Source organism: Homo sapiens, chromosome 5, assembly GCF_000001405.40.
Source record: "Homo sapiens chromosome 5, GRCh38.p14 Primary Assembly".
Lineage (NCBI taxonomy): Eukaryota > Metazoa > Chordata > Mammalia > Primates > Hominidae > Homo > Homo sapiens.
In genome coordinates, this window is record NC_000005.10 from 109,116,935 (window position 1) to 109,143,406 (window position 26,472).

Genomic DNA, 26,472 nt, shown 5'->3' on the forward strand with positions numbered 1-26,472 from the left:
AATAGAATTTTTAAGTTTATGATTTTGCTATTTTCTGTCATATGTGTCAGAATTTTGGAAGGGAACCTTTCGTGAGACAATTTGTCCAGGCTTTTAGCTTTCCATTTCATCTTTCATATGAGATTTTACCTTTATTTTAAGGGACTTTGTTGGCACTACTTATTCTTTCTCAGATATAATATGTTAACTCCATTATACTTAAAATGTTACAATTCAGAAAGGTTCTTTTTCTTTCAGGAATACATTCTAGAATGGCAAACCAGAAAGATTTAATTATCTTTACCATTAAATGTTTAGTCTACTTAAGTCTATTTCTCTGTACATTGGATGAAATCATTGTATAAGATTCTGTGGGTCAGAAGAAATAGTGACTACAGAACAATAATTCATGTGTTGGTAATTCTCTACACCCTATAATTCCACTATTTCATGTGAAACAGGGAAATATCAAGGTCTTATAAACCATAAGGACATTGTCGTGTACTTCTATCATTTTGTGATAAACTCATATCATTCTTATGTAAAATAAGGCTTCTGGAAATAAGATTTGTATGCCTAAATTTTTATAATAATTTGCTGTATATTATTTTGATCTCTTCCCTGGATAGTGAAAGTCATTGGTAGCTTGATGGGGATGGCATTGAATCTATAAATTACCTTGGACAGTATGGCCATTTTCACGATATTGATTCTTCCTACCCATGAGCATGGAATGTTCTTCCATTTGTTTGTATCCTCTTTTATTTCCTTGAGCAGTGGTTTGTAGTTCTCCTTGAAGAGGTCCTTCACATCCCTTGTAAGTTGGATTCCTAGGTATTTTATTCTCTTTGAAGCAATTGTGAATGGGAGTTCACTCATGATTTGGCTCTCTGTTTGTCTGTTATTGGTGTATAAGAATGCTTGTGATTTTTGCACATTGATTTTGTATCCTGAGACTTTGCTGAAGTTGCCTATCAGCTTAAGAAGATTTTGGGGTGAGACGATGGGGTTTTCTAGATATACAATCATGTCATCTGCAAATAGGGACAATTTGACTTCCTCTTTTCCTAATTGAATGCCCTTTATTTCCTTCTCCTGCCTGATTGCCCTGGCCAGAACTTCCAACACTATGTTGAATAGGAGTGGTGAGAGAGGGCATCCGTGTCTTGTGCCAATTTTCAAAGGGAATGCTTCCAGTTTTTGCCCATTCAGTATGATATTGGCTGTGGGTTTGTCATAGATAGCTCTTATTTTGAGATACGTCCCATCAATACCTAATTCATTGAGAGTTTTTAGCATGAAGCGTTGTTGAATTTTGTCAAAGGCCTTTTCTTCATCTATTGAGATAATCATATGGTTTTTGTCGTTGGTTCTGTTTATATGCTGGATTATATTTATTGATTTTCGTATGTTGAACCAGCCTTGCATCCCAGGGATGAAGCCCACTTGATCATGGTGGATAAGCTTTTTGATGTGCTGCTGGATTCGGCTTGCCAGCATTTTATTGAGGATTTTTGCATCAATGTTCATCATGGATATTGGTCTAAAATTCTCTTTTTTTGTTGTGTCTCTGCCAGGCTTTGGTATCAGGATGATGCTGGCCTCATAAAATGAGTTAGGGAGGATTCCCTCTTTTTCTATTGATTGGAATAGTTTCAGAAGGAATGGTACCAGTTCCTCCTTGTATCTCTGGTAGAACTCAGCTGTGAATCCATCTGGTCCTGGACTTTTTTTGGTTGGTAGGCTATTAATTATTGCCTCAATTTCAGAGCCTGTTATTGGTCTATTCAGGGATTCAGTTTCTTCCTTGTTTAGTCTTGGAAGGGTGTATGTGTCCAGGAATTGTCCATTTCTTCTAGATTTTCTAGTTTATTTGCATAGAGGTGTTTATAGTATTCTCTGATGGTAGTTTGTATTTCTGTGGGATCAGTGGTGATATCCCCTTTATCATTTTTTATTGCATCTATTTGATTCTTCTGTCTTTTCTTTATTAGTCTTGCTAGCGGTCTATCAATTTTGTTGATCTTTTGAAAAAAAAAAACCAGCTGCTGGATTCATTGATTTTTTTGAAGGGTTTTTTGTGTCTCTATCTCCTTCAGTTCTGCTCTGATCTTAGTTATTTCTTGCCTTCTGCTAGCTTTTGAATGTGTTTGCTCTTGTTTCTCTAGTTCTTTTAATTGTGATGTTAGGGTGTCAATTTTAGATCTTTCCTGCTTTCTCTTGTGGGCATTTAGTGCTATAAATTTCCCTCTACACACTGCTTTGAATGTGTCTCAGAGATTCTGGTATGTTGTGTGTTTGTTCTCATTGGTTTCAAAGAACATCTTTATTTCTGCCTTCATTTTGTTATGTACCCAGTAGTCATTCAGGAGCAGGTTGTTCAGTTTCCATGTAGTTGAGTGGTTTTGAGTGAGTTTCTTAATCCTGAGTTCTAGTTTGTTTGCACTGTGGTCTGAGAGACAGTTTGTTGTAATTTCTGTTCTTTTACATTTGCTGAGGAGAGCTTTACTTCCAACTATGTGGTCAATTTTGGAATAAGTGCAGTGTGGTGCTAAAAAGAATGTATATTCTGTTGATTTGGGGTGGAGAGTTCTGTAGATGTCTGTTAGGTCTTCTTGGTGCAGAGCTGAGTTCAATTCCTGGATATCCTTGTTAACTTTCTGTCTCGTTGATCTGTCTGATGTTGACAGTGGGGTGTTAAAGTCTCCTATTATTATTGTGTGGGAGTCTAAGTCTCTTTGTAGGTCTCTAAGGACTTGCTTTATGAATCTGGGTGCTCCTGTATTGGGTGCATAGTGTTTGTATTAATTTACATTCCTACAGATAGTGTACCAAGAGTTCCTTTTTCTCCACATCTTCACCAGCATTTGTGATTGCCTGTCTTTTAGATAGAAATCATTTCAACTGGGGTAAAATGACATCTCATTTTAGCTTTGATTTGCATTTCTCTGATGGTCAGTGATGTTGAGCACCTTTTCATATGCCTATTTGCCATTTTTATGTCTTCTTTTGAGAAATGCCTATTTAGATCTTTTGCCTATTTTTAAAGTGGATCATTAGATTTTTCTTTCCTATAGAGTTGTCTGAGCTCCTTCTGTATTCTAGTTATTAACCCCTTCTCAGAAGGATAGTTAGCAAGTATTTTCTTCTGTATTATCTCTTCACTTTATTTTCTTTGCTGTGCAGAAGCTTTTTAACTTCATTTGATCACATTTGTCCATGTTTGCTTTGGTTGCCTATGCTTGTGAGGTATTACTGAAGAATCAGCCCAATGTCCTGGAGAGTTTCCCCAATGTTTTCTTTTAGCGGTTTCACAGACTAAAGTCTTAGAATTAAGTCTTTAATCGGCTTTGATTTTATTTTTGTATATGGCAAGAGATATGGGTTTAGTTTCATTCTTCTGCACATGGATCTCCAGTTTTCTCAGCACCATTTATTGAAGAGACTGTCCTTTCCCTAATGTATGCTCTCTCTGTCAAAAGTGTGTTCACTGTAGATGTATGGATTTGTTTCTATGTTCTCTATTTTGTTAACAATGGTCTTTGTGTCTATTTTTATTGCCAGTACCATTCTGTTTTGGGTACTATAGCTCTGTAGTATATTTTATAGTCAGGTAATGTGTTTCCTCCAATTCTGTTCTTTTTGCTTAGGAAAGCATTGACTATTCTGGGTCTTTTGTGGTTCCATCTAAATTTTAGCTTTGTTTTTTTCTGTTTCTGTGAAGAATGCCGTTGGTATTTAGATAGGAATTGCAATTAGTTTGTTGATTGCTTTGGGTTGTATGGACTTTTTAACAATATTGATTCCTTCAATTCATGAACATGGAATATTTTTTCATTTTTCGTGTTCAATTTATTTCACCAATGTTTTATAGTTTTCATTATAGACATCTTTTGCTTATTTGATTAGTTGATTCTTAGCTATTTAATTTTATCTGTAGCTGTTGTAAATGAAACTACTTTCTTGATTTCTTTTTCAACTTGTTTGCTGTTGGCATATGGAAATGCTACTAATTTGTGTATGTTGATTTTGTATCCCATAACTTTACTGAATGTATTTTGTTAGTTCTCATAGTTTTTGGTGGAGTCTTTAGGTATTTTCAAATATAAGAGTATATCATCTTCACACAAGGATAATTTGACTTTTTCTTTTCCAGTTTGGATGCTCTTTATTTCTTTCTCTTGTCTGATTGCTCTAGCTAGGAATTCCATACTATGTTGAGTAACACTAATGAAAGTGGGCATCCTTGTCATGTTCTAGATCTTAGAGGAAAGGCTTTCAGTTTTTCCCCATTCAGTATTATACTAGCAGTGGGTCTGTCATGTATGGCTTTTAATATGTTGAGGTATGTTTCTTCTGTACCAAGTTTTCAGAGGGTTTTTATCATGAAAACATGTTGAATTTTGTCAAATGCAATTTCAACATCAATTGAAATGATAATATGGTTTTTGTCCTCCATTCTGTTGATGTGATATGTCACATTGATCGAGTTGCATGTATGTTGGACCATCTTTTCACCTTGGGATAAATCCCACTTGGTCGTGATGAATGATCTTTTTAATGTGTCATTGAATTCAGTTTATTCTTACTTTGAGGATTTTTGCATCAATGTTCATCAGGGATATTGACCTGTAGTTTTCTTTTTTTGATGTGTCTTTATCCGGTTTTAGTATCAGGTTAATAGTGGCCTCATGGAATGAGTTGGGAAGTATTCCTTCTTCCTGTATTTTTGGGGGGCAGGAATAGTTTCAGTAGGATTAATATTTTTCTTTAAATGTTTGGTAAAATTCAGCAGTGAAGCCATCAGGTCCTAGGATTTTCTTTGCTGGGCGATTTTTTATAATGGCTTTAATCTCATTACTTGTTATTGGTCTGTTCAGAATTTGGATTTCTTCATGGTTCAATCTTGATAGGTTTTATGTGTCTAGGAATTTATCCATCTCTTCTAAGTTTTTAAATGTATTGGCTTATAGTTCCTCATAGTAGCCGCTAATGATCCTTTGTATTTTGGCAGTATCAGTTATAATGTTTCCTTTTTCATTTTCAATTTTATTTGTGTCTTCTCTTTTTTTCTTAGTCTGGCTAAAGGTTTATCCATTTTATCTTTTAAAAAAAACAACTTTTGTTTTGTTAGCCTTTTGTATTTTCTTTATTTCAATTTCATTTATCTTCCCTTGACCATTAATATTTCTTCTTATTTTGGTTTAGTTTGTTCTTACTTTTCTAGTTCTTTCAGATACATCATTAAGTTGTTTATTTGAAATTTTTCCACTTTGTTGATATAGGCCCTTACAGCTCTAAACTTCCCTCTTAGTACTGCTTTTGCTGTATCTTACAGGTTTTAGTATGTTGTGTTTCCATATCAATTGTAGCAGGACATTTTTTAATTTCCTTCTTAATTTCTTCATTGATTCACTGGTCATTTGGGAGCATATTGTTTAATTTCCGTGTGTTTGTATAGTTTCCAAAATTCTTCTTGTTTTTGATTTCTAGTTTTATTCAATTGTTGTCAGAGAAGATGTACTTTATTTCAATTTTTAATCCTGTTTTTAGACTTATTTTGCTTCCTAATTTATGGTCTGTCCTTGAGAATGATCCATGTGCTGAGAAAAAAAAAAAAGGCATGTTCTGCAGCCTTTGGTGAAACGTTCTGTAAATATCTATTAGGTCCAATTGGTATATAGTGCCGATTAAGTTCAATGTGTCTTTGTTCATTTTCTGTATGGATGGTATGTCCAATGCGGAAAGTGGGGTGTTGACAGCTCTGGCTGTTGTTGTATTGGGGTCTCTTTCTTTAGCCCTAATAATATTTGCTTTATATATCTGGGTGCTCAAGTGTTGGGTGCATACATATTTATAATTGTTATATATCTTGCTGAATTGACCCCTTTTTCATTATATAATGACCTTCTTTGTCTCTTTTTTAGTTTTTGTCTTGAAAGCTATTTGTTGTGATGTAAGTATAGCTACCTTTGCTCGTTTTTGGTTTCTGTTTGCACGGAATATCTTTTTTCATCCTTTTATTTTCAGGATATGTGTGTCTTTATGGATGAAGTGTTTTTCTTGTAGGCAATAGATCATTGGGTCTTTTTTTTATTAATCCATTCAGCCACTCTATACGTTTTGATTGGAGAGTTTAGTCCATTTATATTCAATGTTATTGTTAAGTAAGGACTTACTCCTGCCATTTTGTTATTTTCTGGTTGTTTTGTGGTCCCCTCTTATTTCCTTCCTTCCTGTCTTGTTTTTTTTTTTTTTTTGAGACGGAGTCTCACTCTGTCGCCCAGGCTGTAGTGCAGTGGTGCAATCTCGGCTCACTGCAAGCTCCGCCTCCCGGGTTCACGCCATTCTCCTGCCTCAGCCTCCTGAGTAGCTGGGTCTACAGGCACCCGCCACCGTGCCCAGCTAATTTTTTTGTATTTTTATTAGAGACAGGGTTTCACCGTGTTAGCCGGGATGGTCTCGATCTCCTGGCCTCATGATCCGCCCACCTCAGCCTCCAAAGTGCTGGGATTACAGGTGTGAGCCACATCACCCAGCCTTGTTTTTTTGTTGGTTTTTTTTTAGTGAAGGTGACTTTTTTCTGGTGCTATATTTTAATTTCTTGCTTTTTATTTTTTTGTATATCTCTTGTATGTTTTTAAATTTGAGGTTATGAGGCTTCCAAATAACATCTTATAACAAATTATTTTATTTAAACTGATGTCAATTTATCACTGGTTATATAAACAAACTAACAAGCAAAGAGAAAACTAATAAAGATTCTATACTTTAATTCCATTCTCCTGCTTTCTAACTTATTATTTCTATCTTCTTATATTATCGATCAGACTGAAATTTAATTCTATAATCAGTGACTGCTGGGCAAAAGAAGGTGAATTTACATTTTGATCATTGCTCCTTTTGTCTGGAGAACATTTTAACCTGTTATTGAACATCTTAGTATCTAGTTACACTGTGGGCTTATGTTGTTCTATGTTTACATTTGTATGTTTACATTATGTTTACATAGATAATGCAAGAAATATTAAAAGAGCATGGCGCAGTGGCTCATGCCTGTAATCCCAGCACTTTGGGAGACCGAGGTAGATCACTGAGTCCAGGAGTTTGAGTCTAACCTGAGCAACATGGCAAAACCTGATCTCTACAAAAAATACAAAAAAAAAATAGCAGGGCATGATGGTGTGTGTCTGTAATCCCAGCTACAAAAGGCTGAGGTGGGAAAATTGACAGAACCTGGGAAGTCGAGGCTGCAGTGTGCCATGATTGTGCCACTGCACCCCAGCCTGGGCAACAGAGCAAGACCCTGTCTCAAAAAAGACATATTAAAAGGGACAAAAAACTAGGTGCTTGGCAGTTTTCTTTACCTTTGTTATAATAAGCAATTGGAAGGAAGGCTTTCATTAACTAAATGCTGTGGGAAATTATTAGCAATATTTCCATTAAGTGGCTTGTGCTTAGACTGTTGGTTCTTAAGGCTTATGAACTCTTCGTGTACTTGTGAGATGGAAGAAGTTATTCATTAAACCCCTTCGTAAATTGCCCAGAATGGCTTTGTGGAGCCTCCTCTCTTCCTCTGTATTCAGAAAAGTATCAGTTGTTCTTTGAAGCATAATATCTGCCAGCTTTATAATTGTTTGTCATTTCTTAGAAGACAGACATTTTTTAATAGTTTTGTTGTTGTTGTTGTTGTTGTTGTTGTTGTTGTTTTGCTCCCCTTCCTGATTGACAGCAGCCTTAAATCAAGATCTCAAAACTGTGACTCTGGGCCAGTTATTTAGGAAGAAAAACATTTAAAAGGAAGAAAATACAAGATTAGAAACATAAACATTCCTTTTAAGATAGAAGTTGGGCCGGGCGCGGTGGCTCACGCCTGTAATCCCAGCACTTTGGGAGGCCGAGACAGGTGGATCACGAGGTCAGGAGATCCAGACCATTCTGGCTAACACGGTGAAACCCCGTCTCCACTAAAAATACAAAAAATTAGCCAGGCGTAGTGGCGGGCACCTGTAGTCCCAGCTACTCGGGAGGCTGAGGCAGGAGAATGGCGTGAACCCAGGAGGCAGAGCTTGCAGTGAGCCGAGATTGCACCACTGCACTCCAGCCTGGGCGACAGAGTGAGACTCTGTCTCAAAAAAAAAAAAAAAAAAAGAAGAAAGATAGAAGTTGACTGCTAATCAGTAGGAAAAGTCTTAAAACAAATGACTTTATTCTTTCACTAAACTTGCTGTTCTCAAGATTCTAATACCCCATGAATTAAATATTTAGAATTATTATCTGTTTTTTTTCCTTTTATATACATACATTAGAACTCTTTACATACTATGGTAAGTTCCAACATTTTTGTGAAGTATTACATACTATGGTGAGTTCCAACAGTTTTGTGAAGTATTATTTGGATAATTCCATAACCATAAAATCATAATCATTGTGAAAATTAATTGTGATTTAAATATTTTATCTATTTATGTAAGTGGTTTTACATAAATAAGTTTACTAAATTTTTCTTAAAAGTGTCTTATATTCAAACCTGTAAACATCTGTGACTAAGTTCACTGTCTCTTCCTACTGCAGTCATATTTTTAAAATAATACAATTTCAGACCATCTTTCCCTCGCCAAACTCACATATAACACAGTCTATGAAATTAGGATAATAATAGCACTTATAGAAGATTGGTGAAGATTCAGTGTAAAGTGTTTGGCACAGTGCTTAGAACATTTTAATCATTCTGTAAATGTGAGCTGGTCTTAGTAGTAGCAGTATTGTTTCTGAAATGTTAAGGTAACAGAACTGGATTTTTTCTCTCTCTCTTCATATAGTCCTTCTAAAAACCTGATATTCCCAAGTGTTTTATTTTGTAAATCATCTCATGTAAGACTTTTGAGAAATAGTTTTAGAATAAGAACATTCCCAGGTTGTTCCTAATATCCTTTTTCCTAAACTGGAAATTCTTTTTAGGCATCACCTGACTGTTTCGGGACTCTTTGTTCTTCTCCTTTGTCAGAAAGAATGAAACGGTGAAGGCTAAAACTGCTACATCCACAGATGGCTGATTCATTTCTTAGTGCTCAGAACTTCATATCTATAGCTGTTTTTTTTTTCCTTTTCTGATACAGCCAGTAATTGGCTGAGTTCCAGAAACCATACTTTCTGTCAGACTCCCTGATCTTTTTTGGATTATCTGTGGATAATCAGAATTATGTGCTTGGAAATAATTGTAGTTCTTAGCTGTAAAACACGAAAAAAGACGCTAAACATTCACAGTGTAGGGTGAGATAGCTGCTTAGGCACTTCCTTTCCCCCTTCCTTGCACCTGTTCATCTAGTCCCTTGGCCCCATTTTAAGTGCACACGGAGTTAAGAACCCTGCGGTTTGCATGCTTGCTATATCTTTAAGCACTCTAGCCTTCATTCCTCTTAGAAGGGCTAGAGCAACAGGAGCAATACTCTTTTGCTTTTATCCTCTGTTTACATATTCACCTTATCCATTATACATGGAGCCACTACACAGAAAGTTCTTGGAAGAAAAAGAATTTAGGATCTTGATTTCAGGGCTAGGCCCGTCTAAATCCAAGCATGGTTACAAGAAAATTTTGTAAATTAAAAAAATAATTTTTAATTTTCAAGAAAGGGATTGATTAATGAATAATAATTTATTGCTGATTCTGTCTCTCATGGGTGTGAACTTACAGTGAATAGAGACAAGCCTTCTCAGGTCTGATCTCTTTTTTCATTCAGTTAGCAGATACCGGATTGTTTATTTTGTGCCAAGTATCACACTAGGTACTGGTTGAATTGCTCCTTGTCATTATGTAACTCATCTTAGGCAAGAGAGGCAGATAAAAAGCAGGTATAGAAACAAATAATAAGGTATACACTAGCTTTGATAAATGCTGTGATAGAACCAAACAAGGTAAAGTGTAAAGAATAAACTATATGGAAGTATAGGAAGTCAGGAAAGACTTCTGAGGAGTCTACATTTTGATGAGCACTGAGGGAGTTAGCGATGTGAAGATTAGGGAGAACAAATTTCCAGGCTGTGTTACAAAGGTTATTCAGGATTTACCAACCAGCAGAAAAGGCTATAATAAGCTCTATCTTAGCCTTTCATGAAATCACGTATTTCCAATACAAAGAAATCTAACTGCTACATTCTTGTGTTGGGAACGTTCCAAGATTATTTCTCACATGTTATAAATATGTATTGGCATTTATTGTATGCACTTCCATCTAACCATGGATTATCTTTCAATATAGAGTTACTCTGGGGGCTTTGTCATATATCTGTATTGAATACCAATACAAAAATCCATTATTTTAAAACTGTCCACCTTTGGGGATTATTTACACTATTTCATTAGAACATATAGTAAAGAGTTCAGAGTGTGTCTCTGTGTGTATTGTATGTCTTTATTACCTCAAATAACTATATTAATGTTCATATAATATGTGCCTCAACTGTGTTTCCATTTTTATTTTTTATTTTTACTTTTATTTGTATTTTTTTGAGACAGAGTCTCGCTCTGTTGCCAGGCTGGAGTGCAGTGACGTGATCTCGGCTCACTGCAATCTCCACCTCCCAGGTTCAAGGGGTTCTCCTGCCTCAGCCTGCTGAGTAGCTGGGATTACAGGCACGCGCCACCACATCAGCTAATTTTTTTTTGTATTTTTATTAGAGACGGGGTTTCACCATGTTGGCCAGGATGATCTCGATCTCCTGAGCTCATGATCCACCGGCCATGGCCTCCCAAAGTGCTGGGATTACAGCGTGAGCCACCGTGCTTGGCCTCCATTTTTATTTTTAAAGATTAGAAAAATATTACTAATTAACTATATTAGGAGTCATTAAAAATGAAAATATTTTTATGTTCAAACTTAATTTTTACATTTTACTAGGGACCCAGAATCAGCCATATGTTCAGAAGTAGGCTCCTGAAAATCAATGTATGTGTTCTGTAATTAAAAGTTATTTTTCATAATATTGAAATTCTAATTTATGTTCTTGCTAGTTTTGGTAGTATAAACACTGTTTATAGACCAACTATTTTATCTTGTTTTTACAGTACTGCTTTATCCATATTTGATTTTAACTTTTACCAGTTCTGTTGAAAACCGTTAATCAGAAATTTTATAAGTCTTTGATTTAGCGTTTAAATTGAGATGTGGAATGTAAAAGTGGTGCTGAGCAGCTACAGTGTTGAAGGTTAAATTTATCCTAGCCATGAAAAAGAAATATATTTTCCTACCCTCTCCTTCCTTACCCAGTGATTGATCACACAAGTCAGTAGCATCATACCTTTGTGAGATATACAAGTTTTTTTTTTTTAATGAGAGACATACTGAGAACTATTTCTTAATCATGAAATAGTATTCTTTCAGTTCCCAGATTCTCACATTTGTAAGTGTAATAATGAGTTTTGGCATACTATAAATATTTATGACAACTTTCAATTGTAAGTTTTGGGAACCTAAAATAAGTCTTCTAAGTAAGTCATTCACAATAAACACTTTTACTATCAATATGTGATTTTAGACAGTTGCCTTTAGTCTCAGTAATGTGATGATATTTCTAATTCATACTTGGGAGTTACCTAATAAAAATCAGTGAAAAGGAGGACAGCTTGTCATCATTCTGGTGTTTACTCTCTTGTAGCATGCACTTCTCATCATGTGTTTAAGCCCCAGTGTAGCAATGCAGAATGGGGATTGTATTAAGATGTTCACACTACTATTCAGCAATACCCATAGGTTAACCAAGCATAAATTTCTATAGTATGTAGGTGTCAATGTACCTAAAATAATAAATACACATATTATGTAAATTTAAATGAGTTATTATTTTAATATATGGAGCATACATTTAATATATTTTCAAAACTTAAAGTTTTTGTTGGAAAACTTCACAAAATGATTCTAAAGTGTGTCTGGAAAAATATGTCACAAAAATTGAGAAAACATTGTAAAATAAAGAAGGATGAAAAAGAACTTTCCCATGTATATGTTAAAACATTTTATAAAGCTATAGTAATTAAAGCAACAGTGGGTAGACATGGATATATGTAAAAATGAGAACTATTTTTAGTGTATGTGGAAATAGTATATTGTTAAGAAATAGACTAATATATAGATAAAGATTTAGAATACAGTAAAAATGATATTTTAAATCAGTGGATTACTTTAAATTATTGTACATAAATGGTGTTGGAACAATTATGTAACTATTGGTGGTAGAGCTGGGGTGGTGGCAGAGGAATAAAGTCAGATACTCATACCTTATCTTATAACAAAATGAATTCCGGGTGGAGAATCTTAATAAATGATTCTACTTTTTCAGCAGTTTGTTCTGTTTGAATAATAGTTATTGGAGAATATGGAAAATTTGTTACAGTTTAAGAGTTTCGTGTCACAAACATACATCTTAATTTTCCCATTAATTATTCTAAAACTTTTCATATCTATGTATACTTGTTTACCTTTAACTTGTTCTGAATCCTAAAATGGTATATTGAAGTCCTGTATCATATAGTAATTTTATTAAAACCTCCTCGAATTTCCAAGACTCTTTGTACTTTTATTTCACTGCTTTCTACTTCCATATAACAATCAACCAGTCACTGTTAAATGATGACCTAGAAACCTGGATAAAAGGGTTTGAAACATATTCGATAAACTAAATTTTAATATTTCATGATATAAAAAGCTCTTACAAAACAAAATAAAACAAATATAAAAATGAGCAAAGAACACGAACAGTAAGTTCATTTAGAACATACTCTGATATGCTCTAGGCAGATGTATAAATTGGTACAAGGTTTTCGTATAGGAATTATTGAAATGTGTCAAACGTCTTTAAAAATGCATACCCTTTTACACAGCAATTCAACTCCTAAGAGTTTGTCTTAAGGCAATAATCAAAACATCAAATATGTGTGTTTTTAGTTGCCCATCATATTGTTGTTTATAATGACAAATTTTTGGGAAAATCCTACATCTCACATATATGAGATCCTACTTTTACTATTGAGAAATAATAACAATACCAAATAATAGTTGTAGTATGCTGTAATTTTATAAAAATAAATTTGCATTTTCATATTTATACATGAATAGTTTAGAAGGACAATGTATTAATACTTGTGCGTAGGTTTTTTTTTACATTTATACTTATGCTTCCTTTCATAGTGATTCAGAGTAGAAATACCTTTATAGTTTTACAAAACCTATCCCATTTTTAAAAAATGATTTAAAAGATGATTAGAGATTTTTATCCCATAGTAAATATTATAGTGAAAATACATCTGATTAATGGAAAATTTGGCATTTAATATGTGACATATAATAATTTGAGTTTTAATTGATTTTTTTCTCACATTTTGATGTTTAAGAGAAACCAGTTTTCCCCTGAGAAGGCTTTTCTGTATTTTCCTTCTCTGTTGTACTACACTATCATAACACTTATTAAAGATGCCATAGTGTATATAGTCCTCTGTTAATTTGTCTGTACTTCCTATTGGCCTTGTCCAAGATATGTAGTATGAACTACATATGTAATTTTAAAATTTTTAGTAGCCACATTAAAAATATAAACAGAAACAAAATAAAATGATATAAAAATAAACAGATGAAATTAGTTTAAATAATAACTCAATACAGATACATGAAAAATTTATCATTTTAACATGCAATTAGTGTGAAATTTGTTAATGAGGTATTTTACGTTTTTTTTTCTGACCACCTGCTGCCTGTTGATAAATTTTACGTTGTTTTGTCATAGAAATTTTCAAAATCTGGTGTGTATTTTTTACTTATGCACATCTCAGTTGGACTAGCTATGTTTCAGCTGTTCAGCAATCATATGTGGCTAGTGGCTGCCATACCAAACAGCACAGCCTTAGACTGTAAGCTCTGTGAGGACAAGGGAATCCTTTTTACTCCAGTGCCTAATACAGTGCCTGGAATTTAATAAACATTTTAATATTTGAATTTGCTTCCCCAAACAAGTTTATTTGCAGTTTCTAACTGTGATATCACTTGCTGTTTTATACTTCATACTTTTCATTTATATACTCATCTCTTAAATTGTGTGCTCTTCAACATAGTAACCATGTTTTATTCAGCTTTATATCTCTGACATAGAAGACACTCAATATATGTTTGTCGCAAGGAAGTTAGAGAAGAGAGAAACTGATTTTTTACTTCAAAGAACTTTTTTCTGGTAAATCATCTCTTGAGATATTTCACATTAAGTCTCACAAGTTCAAAATTGTAGGATTATTTAGCATTTAGCAGTAGAAATTGAAAGACCTCAACTGTTCATTTATTTGAGCTTTAGATTAAGCCATCGAATATGGCTGATTGCTGATTTTATTTTTAAAGATCTCTAAGGATTAGAGATTTATCAGCCTTCCTTAATACAACCTTGTTCTTTGTTGAATAAATTTTACAGCTGTTGAGTTCTTCCCTGTCAATCTTAATAATCCTTTGCTGTAGCATAAGATTTTTTCCCCTGTGATCTTCAGTGGAGACAGACAATAGTTGGTTAATATTAATCATATAATGAGCTTTAGCATTAATAATATTAGTTATGATAATTACCTTAAGCTTTCTTTATCTAAAATGTAGAACATTAATTTTAACATTTACATTATTTCAATTTTTCTTTTAATATTTCAATTTTTCTTCTAATAGGAAAGATGAGATCAGTAATGTATTTATTTTTTGGGTGTGTGAGATATCTTTTCCCCACATAACTGATGTTATAAATAATGCTGATGAGTGCTTTTAGTTTGTCAGTAATAGTAACTGAGCAGCCATCATATGCCATTATGGTATTTGTTGCTAAGAACAGAAAATAATCCATATTTGTTTTCTGATGTGCTCTTAGCTAATAGTTTTGTTATTAGGTTAAGGGCCTAGGAATCATTGTTTAGCCATGTTAGTATCATGCATACTCCTTGTTACAGTAGCCAGACATGTAAATTAAAACCGCTTTGCTGTCAGACAGATCCAGTTAAAATTCAGGCTTTGCTACTTGTCCAGCATCTTCTCAATCTCATCTATATGTTACCCATCTCATAAAGTTGTTGCAAGAATTATATGAGATAAATGTACCTAAAGTATGTGTCTACAGTAAATATGCAACAAGCAGTTACTTTTATTATCATCAATATTATTATCTTTTCTAAAGAAACAACCAAATACTTTGTTGTCGGCATTGGGATCTAAATGCTGGGCATCTTCACAAACTTAAAAATTACCCAATTCCCAAAAATAAAACCAAAATAGGCAACCGGTACTAAGCCAAATATCACATCTGATATTATGGGCTGTGATTTCTCAATCTTTTTCCATAAGAAAAATATAAGAAAGAGGAAATTCCTGAAAAGGGGCAACTAAAATTAAAATACAGCTAAGGCATTCAGTTTATTTATTCATTTAATCTATTGAGTGCTTACTATGTGGCAGGAGCTATTCTAGGAACTTGGGATGCATCAGTGAACAAAACAAAAATTCCTTCATTATAGTCTTTCTAGTGAAATTTAGACTTAGAACTTCAACCCCAGCAGGTTCTGCTGTGAGGATGGGAGAAGAGTGTGCTAGAAACAGGTGGAGGCAGGGAAGGAAGGTCTGCTCTACTTTGACTGTTAAAAGGCCTAGATCCCAGGACAGGAGACCATCAGGCCAAAATCTAATGCCTAGTGTCTGAGGAAACAGGTACCCTTTAGTCCAGTTCAAGTTCATGTTGATGTCCAAGAGGCCTCAGACAATCTATGGGGAATACAGATCTCTGGGTAGAGGTTTGGAGGATGGGTGGTATACTGACTGAAAAAGAATGCTGACAATTTGGAATATAGCCCAGATGGCAGCACCTGGTGAAAAGGGACTGTCACATCATCTGAGCCCAAACCAACTGATGGGAATTGAGGATAGACTTCAGGCTCCTCTTAGTAGAGAACTGAAATAAAGAACAAATCAGGAGCAGAGACTGAATGTACAGCAGTTGAGAGAAGAGCTGTGGGCAGATAGAAAGGGTGCTGTGTGGAGGGAAGCCTGTTGCTGCATAACCAAAGCATGTGTCCTCATATGTAGTTTCCAAAATGATTCCTAACATGTATAAGTCATTGTAGAAGATGTTCATAGTATTTAAGTTGGGATTTTTGTCATACTGTAACTTTCGGTTTTATTGGAAAGTAAATGTTAGTATGTTCTTGGGCAGAGGGTTATCTAGCTTGATAAAGTGCATATCATAAATTGATAAGTTTGAAAGTGACTGTAGGAGATAAGTCAGTCAATAAGTTCCTGGCTTTCATTTCAGAAAGTGTTCCTTTTAGAGGAGAGAAACACTATCATGAAGATATGCAAACAATGCTAGAAAATTTGATAATGTGACTTACAGAAAAACAGAAAAGTTTTGTCTGAACTATTAAAATTCAACTTGCAGCAGCAGCAAAAACAAGTAAAGTAACAGCCAAAATTACTCTGTTAGCTATTTCAGGACTTATTTCTAAATATTTATAAATGATAATAGTATGATGAATTTGGCTGGTTTCCTTGAAAAATTTAAAAAGGTTAGTAAAGGCAATATTTTTAAAAATATTTGTTTATTCACAGTTTTAAATGGCAGAAATTTTATAAGGCACTGCATAATTATCAAGGTTTTAAAAACAGTTACCTGTATCTCTGGGATAAAAAAGAAAGCACATTTGACTATTTGAAAAATTGAAAGTTGAAGCAAGACCATGTCAAGAAAAATTTGTTATCTGTATCTTCTCCATTTATGTGATAATTGTTCCCTAAATCCAAATTTATGTAACAAAACTATATTCTATGTATTTCCCATGAGTCAACTAGTTTCTCTTTAGTGTCTGCCATTTCCAGCATTCTTTTAAAGCCTATAAACAAAATTTGGTGTAAAAGATTGCATCAAATGTTGCTGATAGTTATTAAAAATATATTTCAACTCCAAAATTTGTTCTTAAAGACTAGCATTTTAATCACAGATGTTATTTTTTACCTCTGATTAATAATTGTATCCTTAATTATTGACGATAGCTGAAGGGTTTGACTAAGACATCAGGAATAATTTTTCTCTCTTCCTAAGTTGTGATGATAGATAAATAATTTTTCTATTTTTAAAGAAATACATTAGTTCCTAAGTATCTTATTTCTCTTACTTGAAAGGATAAAAGAATGTTTCCTGTATTGATTTCATTTTCCTGTGAAGTTGAAGCATGAAAAAGTAAATGAATATTAAAAATATTCCATTGTGTTGGTATAATAAAAGCTCGAATACCCAAAGAAAAGTTCCATACTATGTAATATTTTGTGACTTGATTAGTCTGCTGTGCTTTAAAAACTAAACACAGAACAGGAAATATCCCAGTCAATGTTAGAGTTTTATATAAAACATAAAGTTTCAAATTTTAAAGATAAATTTAATTTCCTTTACAGTATTTATCAAAATTAAAAGGGTGAAATAGAAATGTAACATCAAGAGGTTTTATAATCTTAAGGTTTTTCTTTGTCATTTATTAAAAATTATTTTTAAATAGCATACTGATATGATTATACTCCTTCCACCCCAGCTGCTTTAGAGGCCTGTCCTAAACAAGCAATTAAAACTAGATTTTGTTCTTTTAAGTTTGAAAGGTGGCTCCCACACAGATTTAACTTGGGTAATTGGTTGGCCACTACAACCAGCTAGTGACTGATTGTGCTTCCATTAAGAGCAGTTCGGCCAAGGAACTCTGCTCGACACTAAAACCACTGAGAAGAGGGATATATAGTCTCTCTCCTGGATGAGTTCACAATCTGCTTTGGAAGCAGGAACAGCATGTAAATGCATAATTGAAACAAGTGCACTCATACTATAAAAGTATGTTCCTAGAAACATGATTAATACATAGGAAGAATGATTCACTCTGCCTAGGATAGCTTTGTAGGGGACATGGCTAAGGCAAAGAGTCTTTGTCCAAATGAGTAGTAACCAACAGTCTTTAAACAGCAGATGTGTCTCCCATGAGATTGTGATCTTCGTAAGGGCAGAAACCGTGTATATTTTGTTCACCAATATTTCTTTAAAACCTAGTATAATAATCAATATTCAAGAAAAGCATTGCTGAATGACCCAGGTAAAGAAAGATAGGAAGGAGCATACTAAGCAGAAATGGAATTATCTACATTAGATGTTCAAGAAATGATACATTGTTGATACCTGTGGAACACAAAGTCAAGACAGGTGGGGAAATGGTTGGAGATAAAGCTGGAGGGATGATAATAATGGTAGGTAACATTTATTCAGCATTTACTGTACCACACAGTTTTAGGCACCTTATGTATATTCGTTCACTTAATCCTCACAAAATCCTTGAAGGATGTACAATTATTATTCTTCCATTTTTACAGATGAGGAAACTGAAGTACAGAGAGGTTAAGTGATTTTCTCCAGATCATATAAGTGACTTAGGGCAGAACCAGCTTTTGAACCCAGGCAGTCTGGCTCCAAGTTTACGCTCTTAATAGTGTGGGGCTTTTTGTATTTAATTAGACATATGTAACTGACATTTTTGCAAGTCGCAATGGTTACATATTGGTAATTTCAAATGGTTCAACCTAATGTCATGCAGAAGAATTTGGGTATTATAAATACAGATGGAACCCTGGAAAGGGTTTGAACAAGGGAAACAAGACTTTTGGGGGCAATAGACTATAGCCTCCCCAACTCACCAAAACTCTCTAAAAACAAGGACCACTATTATCCAGTAATCCAGGACTCCCACTCTAAGCCTGTCTTATTCCCATTTCTTTGTAAATTGGCCTGATTCCTTACCCTTTGACCTTATTCCTTTGACTTTACCAGTCCAGTTGCCTTTGGCTGACACTTCTCTGTTTCTGGTGATTTCTGCTACTATAAGGTGAAGTTCTAATAACCAGCGCTCAAAAACAGAAAAGAAAGCAAAAGCAACTCTTTGTAAAGCTTTTCTGTATGACCTTACTTCCTTCTGCTTGGCCCGGGCCATCCCAGGTCTACCCATAAAGCATATACTGCTATAAGATTGAGCCAGGCACAGTGGCTCATGCCTGTAATCCCAGCACTTTGGGAGGCCAAGGCAGTTGGTTAACTTGAGGTCTGGAGTTTGAGACCAGCCTGGGCAACATGGCGAAACCCTGTTTTTACTAAAAATACAAAAAGTAGTCGAGCGTAGTGGCACTCACCTGTAATCCCAGCTACTTGGGAGTCTGAGGTGAGAGAATCACTTGAACCCTACTTGGGAGGCTGAGGTGGGAGAATCACTTGAAGCCAGGAGGCAGAGGTTGCAATGAGCTGAGATCACGCCACTGTACTCCAGCCTGGGTGACAGAACTAGACCCCGTCTAAAAATAAAAAATAAAAATAAAATAAAAACAATAAAAAAAGGATTGAACAGGAGATAACTTAAAGCATAAGAGAATTTTTAAATAGTTAGAATACATATATAAAAAATCGTGTTTTAATTGAGTCCTTTCTGGTTTTATGTTTTAGAAATGTCTCCAAGTATGGGTAGCACATAAATATCATATAAAAGTAATTTCATATTTCTCACAGTTATTCTTTAATCTGTACTGCTTAGAAAGACAATCTTGAGAATAATGATAGGAACTACATTTTTTTAGCTAGTTATAGCTTACAAATTATTTTCATATACAGATTTTCATTTGATCTTCACAGTAGCCTAGTGAGGTAATTATCACCATTTTATAGATTAAAGAACATAGATTTAGTGAAGATACATGTGTTTTCAGAGCTTCATTCAAGGTTTTCTACCTTCAGATCTAGGCTTTTTTTTTCACTACCATGCAAAACCTCTTCACATTTATAAATTCTATGAATCAAAATCTTATTAATACTAGCTAATACTGGAGACACATGAGTCTCTAGTCCAAGCTTTAACCACTATGGCATTTGTATAAAACAAGTAAATTCCCAACTCTGTGATAATTACTCAGGTAACCTGAAGTATTTTTTATTGGTGTAAAAGCAATTTTGATATCATCAATTTGAAGCAAAGAAGCCTTATCCTAATGTAACATTCAGATAATACAGGCTATACAACTTGTCTGTATAAACTAGTGCTGTGCGTTAAAATAGCATTTCCCAAAGTCTCTTAGTTTACTTAAGAAATATTTTTCGTTGTGTCTTGATGTCAGTGGCTTTTATAAACTGGTTACCTCATCTGTTCATTAGGCTCTGTGAAGGAAAGGGGGAGATGAAGGAAACATCCAACCTAGGGTAAGTCATGAAAGGATTTTTTTCTACACAGCAAAATCTTAGATCCTACTGTAAGACTTTACCCTTGGTTTCCAGAAGAAAAAAGGATGGACAAGAGGCTGCTCTGTCTCTTCTTCAACTATGTACCAATCAGAGGGTCCACATACCATGCAGTCATTGACTCTCCCTTAGGGTTTACTAAAGCTGTATAGTTCTGCCATGTTTGTTCCTAACCAGCTTTCCCGACAGGCCTGTTTTTCTCTATTCACATATCACCAAAGACTGTGCTAAGGCACTAACCTTGGTCTGGATTTTAGAAACTTGGGGAACTATAAGAAGTAGGGCAAGACTGGCTTCCAATTGTAGAGAATAAAGTCCTAGGGGGGAACTCAAGATAGTATCCAAGGGGAAATCTAGCTCATAAATTACAAAGTGATCTAACAAGCTCCCATGCACAGGTACCAGAAAGAGAAAGAACTCATGTCTGATGGAAAGGAGCCACAAACGAAGGTAGAAAGATAGGCGGGTTGGTGTTAGTAAGAGACTGAATCTGGCAAAAGGCCCATAAATGATGGATACCTTTTTGTAGTACCCCTGTGGCTTCAACCCAGTGAGAAAAGGAGCAATAAAGGACATCAAAACCAATTTTCAGTCCCACTCCAATCTTCAGAGCTTGAGGTTTCTGCCATGGTTAATTCTAATCTTTTTCTTATGGACTTACCCAGACCCATTAGCTAGTGTCTTGATTTAACTTGGGAATGCTATCCTGGCCTATTTTCTCCCGCAAGATGTACTGGGCCTACTCTCTAGCTCTAGTCTTTAACTAATGCACTGGTTTGGTCTTCCCAGTTTCCTGCATTGCAGCTCAAGCCTGAAGTCTTTCTGTCATATCGGAACTAAAGAGACTCATGCTTCAGGAACTATAGGAGAGAATGCCATATGTAGGGCTGGAACAAAGCATGTACAGGAAAAGGAGGGTGGGAGAAAGAGGATGAAGAATTACTCTCTCCATTCAGCAAAAAAGGAAAATGTTTCTTCAGATTACCAAGGGATACTTGCCAGTGTTCAGGATGTTTCATAATTCATATTATTATCTTATTTTTTTTGTAGTGGGAATTATCAAAGACAGTAAAAAGATGTTAGAAGAGAAATTCAGGGGTAGGGGAAATGGGAATATGTTAGTCAAAGGACACAAACTTTGAGTTATAAGATGAACAGTTTCTGGGAATCCAAGGTACAGCATGGGTGGTGATATGTGTGTTAATTTGTGATAATCATTATGTAGTATATACATATATCCAATCATCGTGTTATACACCTTGGATATATTCACCCTTGTCAATTAAATAGTTTAAAATATAAAAGAAAAATTCAAGACCTTAATGTCAGCTAAAGGCCTTAGACTTAGTTACTCTCCCCAACCCCTTCTGGGTTATTTTTGTTTGTTTGAAGAAATGTTATTGCCTCAAAAATTCTTGATTTCTCTAGTTCCTCTCACTCTATTTTAATATCAGTCAGCTATCCTTGTGTTTCCATCTGATGTTTCACAGATTGAGGGCTGTGAAGTCACTTACCCTCTCGAAGCAGTTAGGAGACTATTACAGCTATTCCAGAAAGAGATGATAAGGGTTTGAACTATGTCACGTGCAGTATGAGTGCCAAGGAAGGGGTTGAATAGTTGAATTCAAAAACATTTTCAGAAATAGAATAAATACAAATTCTTGATATGACAGGGTAAAGGAGAGGGGAGAATCCAAGAAGATATTGAGAGTACATTTCTAACAGAAGTAGAGGGCCCATGGCAATCTATGAATTAAGACATAGGGCACAGGGTTAAGAGCAGGTTTCAGAGGGAACAAAGATTTGACATTTGCTTTTGGACTTGTTGAATTTGAGGTACCTGTAGGACATCTAGGAAGAGAAAGCCAGAACAGTCTAGTTGAAATATGGGGTGGAGGGTATAACATTGAGAGAGGCTCAAAAGGAACACAGCGGAGCTAAGTGATTCAAGGATGGTATATAGGAGTCTCAGGTCTTTTCTTTAATATTGTCTATCAAAATCACTTCCTTGTCTTCCACAGACTCCTTCCTGAGTCTGTCTTGCTGTCAACCCTGCAGAAGATTCCCACCCCCACCCTGTACCCCTAAAAGGCAGGGCCTATGTCTTTACTTCTCCTTCTTTCTTTCTTTTTTTTTTTTTTTTTTGAGGCAGAGTCTCGCTCTGTTGCCCAGGCTGGAGTGCAGTGGTGCGATCTCGGCTCACTGCAAGCTCCACTTCCCGGTTCCAAGCCATTCTCCTGCTACTTCTCCTTCTTTATAACCTAGGGACATTGCTAAAAGATAGCAGTTTTTAAGAAAAAATGCTAAAAGAGAGCATTTTTAAGAAAATATAGTTTGACTATGACTTCATTTTCAGATGTCAGGACTGGTTTTTGTTTCACTTTTTTGCCCATTAAGATTTAGAGGTTTTCTGCAAGTCAGCAGAAAATTGTAGTTACTATATCCCCTGTTATGAAAGCAAACCCCCAGTTTTCTTCTGGATATGATGTGTTAATATGGGAACACACATTTTGCTGACATGCCCTAATGCTTAATATTTTGATGAATCAATCTGGGAATAAGAATTGATTGAAAACATCTCAATTTTACATTGGCTGAAGTAAGTATTGGTTAGGAAGATGGGCAGCCAGTTAGCTGACAGGATCTACACCGTGCTAGATGGATTGCAATAAAAAAAAATAGAATTAAACACAGTATACTGCTATCAATTACTGACTGGCAAGTATGTTATTGAACCATATCAGAAATAAAAGCCAAAGCATTTTCCTGTGATTCCCAAAAAAGCTCAAATTGCGAATATCTTTAGTGCCTAGTAAACAAACAATTCTACCTTGTATAATGTGAAATATTACAGTGAACAAAGTATTTAGTTTTTTCTACTAGCAAATTAAGCCTTTTTAAAATTCTGTGCACACAAAAAACATATGCTTATTATATTAAAAATTGATTATTTGAGTGGCTCTTAATTCAAATAAAGCTTTAAATGGAAAAGAATACATTCCAGTATAACAGAATTTTACCTGTACTAAACTAAAATCATATCTAAAATACAAATAAAGAAACAGTACAAAACATATCCTTTCTGAAGCACCATTAACAGCATCTTGAATTGGCATCTAACCACAGCATTGCTTATAAGGTAGTACATCTTGTGCTCTTATTGGCCAAGTTTTTCATCTGCATTCCATGGAAAAAAAGTTTGGCTATCATTTGTAAGAGTATGATCAGTGGTGTGTTGCTATGAGCCCGTGAAATAGAAAAACAAAATTAGGAAAGACCTATGTAGCTAGAAAATGTGGCTTTTTAAAATTGTCATCAGAAAGCTATTAATGACTTTTAAGGAAGCAAGAAAGAAAAAAAATTACTAAATACAAAAGCCTGTTAAAATGATTTCAGTGTTTTATGCTACCCTTATGAAAGTCTTGGACTTCAAATGCTTTTTCCTTTGGTAATGCTGCTAATGATAGCAAAATTTTTAGCCTTACGCCTTGTAACTGGAGACATTATTAATACACAAAAATGCCTTTCATAGTCTGAGCCATCTGATAATAGGGTGGAGTATATTTAAATCATAATGAATTGGGAGGGAAGAGATTGTTATGTGACAGACATAAAAATCCTTTATCATTTAAGTGAAGTTGCAAGAACAGTCCCCTCATAAGTCATTATTGCCCCCAATATACAAAGTACCAGAGTCCATTGAGAAGTCTTCCAAGGTAAAATTCTGGACCCATATTCCACAGTAGCTCCTATTCTTCCATATCTCGAGCATACCATGTTCAGAGACTTAGAAAACTTGTAGGAACATGTGAGCAGCTCTGAGGTCTTTATTCAAGTATAAGACTTAATGGAGGCCTAACCAGGTCAGCACCTTCAGAGGGCGTACAGGTGGCCCCTCTTACCTTGTATACCTAATGTTAAGAACTCTACAGAATACTAGGGAGGGCCTTTTTCAGGAGAAAACAAAGATTTCCTTTTTTGAAAATATAAATTCAACTTCCTTTCTCAATTTTTTATAAGCCATGTTAACAATATTTTATTTTATCATGAATATCTGAAATATTAGGAATAAGAAAAGCTCACAAGAGCTTTAAGTTATGATAAAATACTTGAAGATAAAGGCAGCATTCTTTCTTTCCTCTGCATTGGGCTTGATTGGTGGTTCACTAAACTGAAAAGCCACAGGTGGTACTGCAGACTAACTGCAAATGGCCCTCATATTCCAGCCACCACAGAAGCTAGAAAAGTTTTGACTTCTGTATCAGTTAGGCTAACACAGATAGATGTAGTAACAAACAACATGAAAATGTTAGGAGCTTAAACACAGCTAAGTTTATTTCTTGCTACCATGTGTCAGAAAAGGAGCTCTGGGCACAGTAGCGACTTAGGGACACTGGAAGATGGAGAGTCAGTTACTTCCACAATCATAGAGGCAGAGAACTTGCCAAGCTGTGCGCAGGCTCTGAAAGCTACTTCCTAGAAGTAACAGTCATCACTTCTGCTCAAATTTCACTGACTAAGTCAAGTTACACAGCCATGCCTGCATTCAGTGTGGTGGAGATATGTAATCCTCCTGCAGAGAGAGATACTGTATATTTGTAACCAATAATATAACTACCAAACTTCCAATTCTATTTGCTATGCCAATGGAGTGTAGGTTTCAGAACAGTTTGCCTGGTTTATTGTGGTTTTCAAACCACCAGCATAAAAGCCTACAGACACATCAAGTGGGAGAGGCCTTGGACTTCATGGCCTGTTCTTCCCAGTGTGGCCACCAGAGTGTGGATTCCAAGGTCCGTTTTTCCTGGTTTGTTAGTACCACTGAATTTTCCGTGAGCATTATCAACTCCCTTCACATAGTAACTTTGGGCTCAGGAAGAAAAGGCATTCATAATCTCATTTAAGAGGGTGAAGATAGAGTGGGAAGGAGGATACAGAGACTGCCATAAAAACCTGTTCATGTTCTATTATTTACACAATGGGAGTTTTCTGAGAATTGCTTTTAATGTGAGTTACAAAGAGATTTAAAAATAATAATTAAGTTGTCGATATTAGAACATTTGAAAACTCAGTTCCACTTCCTTTGCTTAATTCTAATAATCTGACCCTAATTCCCTTCTCTAATGTTTTTATTATATAAATGACAATGATGGATGTATTGTTTGATGGTGAGCCACTGAACAGGTGTAGGAAATATACAAACAGGCAGGCTCCATCTGGAAAATTTTCATCAAAGAGGTAGGATTCTAGGGACTATAAAACTTATTTTTATAATTAAGATAACAAGAGCCATGCTTGAGGGAAGTGAAAAGAAAGGCATACTTTTGAGGAACATTTATTAAGCAACCACTGTACGACAGACTCTGTGCTAGGTACCACGGATCCAAAGTAAATATTTATAGAGAGAGCATATACAGTATATGGTATGGTTTGCAGGAACTCTGGAGGGAGATTTGGCCAAAGGCATCAAAGGCAAATTTGACTAACAGAAGAGGACAAACAAAGAAACAGAAAAAAAGACATAGAAATAGAAAAAATGGAAACAGCAGACCTCTCAGTGACAAGTCAGTATATATTTTAGCATTGAACTCCTTCTTCTGTGGAAGGTTGTGTTTTATATTAAAATGTGAGGCATGCAGAGTATTAGAATTGTAGATTGTAGCTAGTAGACGATACTGAGGAAGCCTAAAAATTTTACCTCTTCAATGTTAGGGAGATTGATGGTCAGCCAGTGAAAAATGGGTCTTCGCTTTTTTATCCTGTCACTGAAGATGAGATGTGATTATTTTGTGGAAAAAGCAGCAACCTTGCACCACTTCTGGCCACTTTAATTTAGGCAAGGACCCATCTATGTTGAGTCACATGTTCCTGTTTAATTAAGAAGGAGTTCAGGGTCAGTGAAAAATGCTAGCAGCTCTGTCATTCCTTTAAGTAACATGGACAGTCAGAGTCAGCATTTGCAGCAATCTTGGGAGCATCAGGAAGAGTTATATCAGGAAACAAGATACTTCACTCCTCTAGCCCAATCCACTTACACAGAGAAAAGAGTTTACTGTATGCCATAAAGTCCTTGACTCTAGACACATAAATTTACTTGTCTTGTTGCCAACCTAAAAGATAGATTGTCTAATCAGCCTCTGAGTATTGAGTTAAAGAAAGGACAAGCAAAAACATTTGGGAGAA

At 35.1% G+C, this 26,472-nt stretch overlaps 1 protein-coding gene across 17 annotated transcripts in view; it reads left to right on the plus strand.

Annotated features, from left to right (window-relative positions):
* FER (FER tyrosine kinase) overlaps positions 1 to 26,472 on the plus strand; it is a 448,945-nt gene that overhangs the window by 369,038 nt on the left and 53,435 nt on the right. For 6 of the 17 annotated variants that reach the window (XM_011543269.3, XM_011543270.4, XM_047416938.1 and 3 more), the window contains one exon: positions 20,206 to 20,250. The exons of the other annotated variants lie outside the window; for them this stretch is intronic. In XM_011543269.3, coding sequence (XP_011541571.1) covers positions 20,206 to 20,250 — 45 coding nt within the window. The remainder of the gene's footprint in view (positions 1 to 20,205; positions 20,251 to 26,472) is intronic. 17 annotated transcript variants of the gene reach the window in all.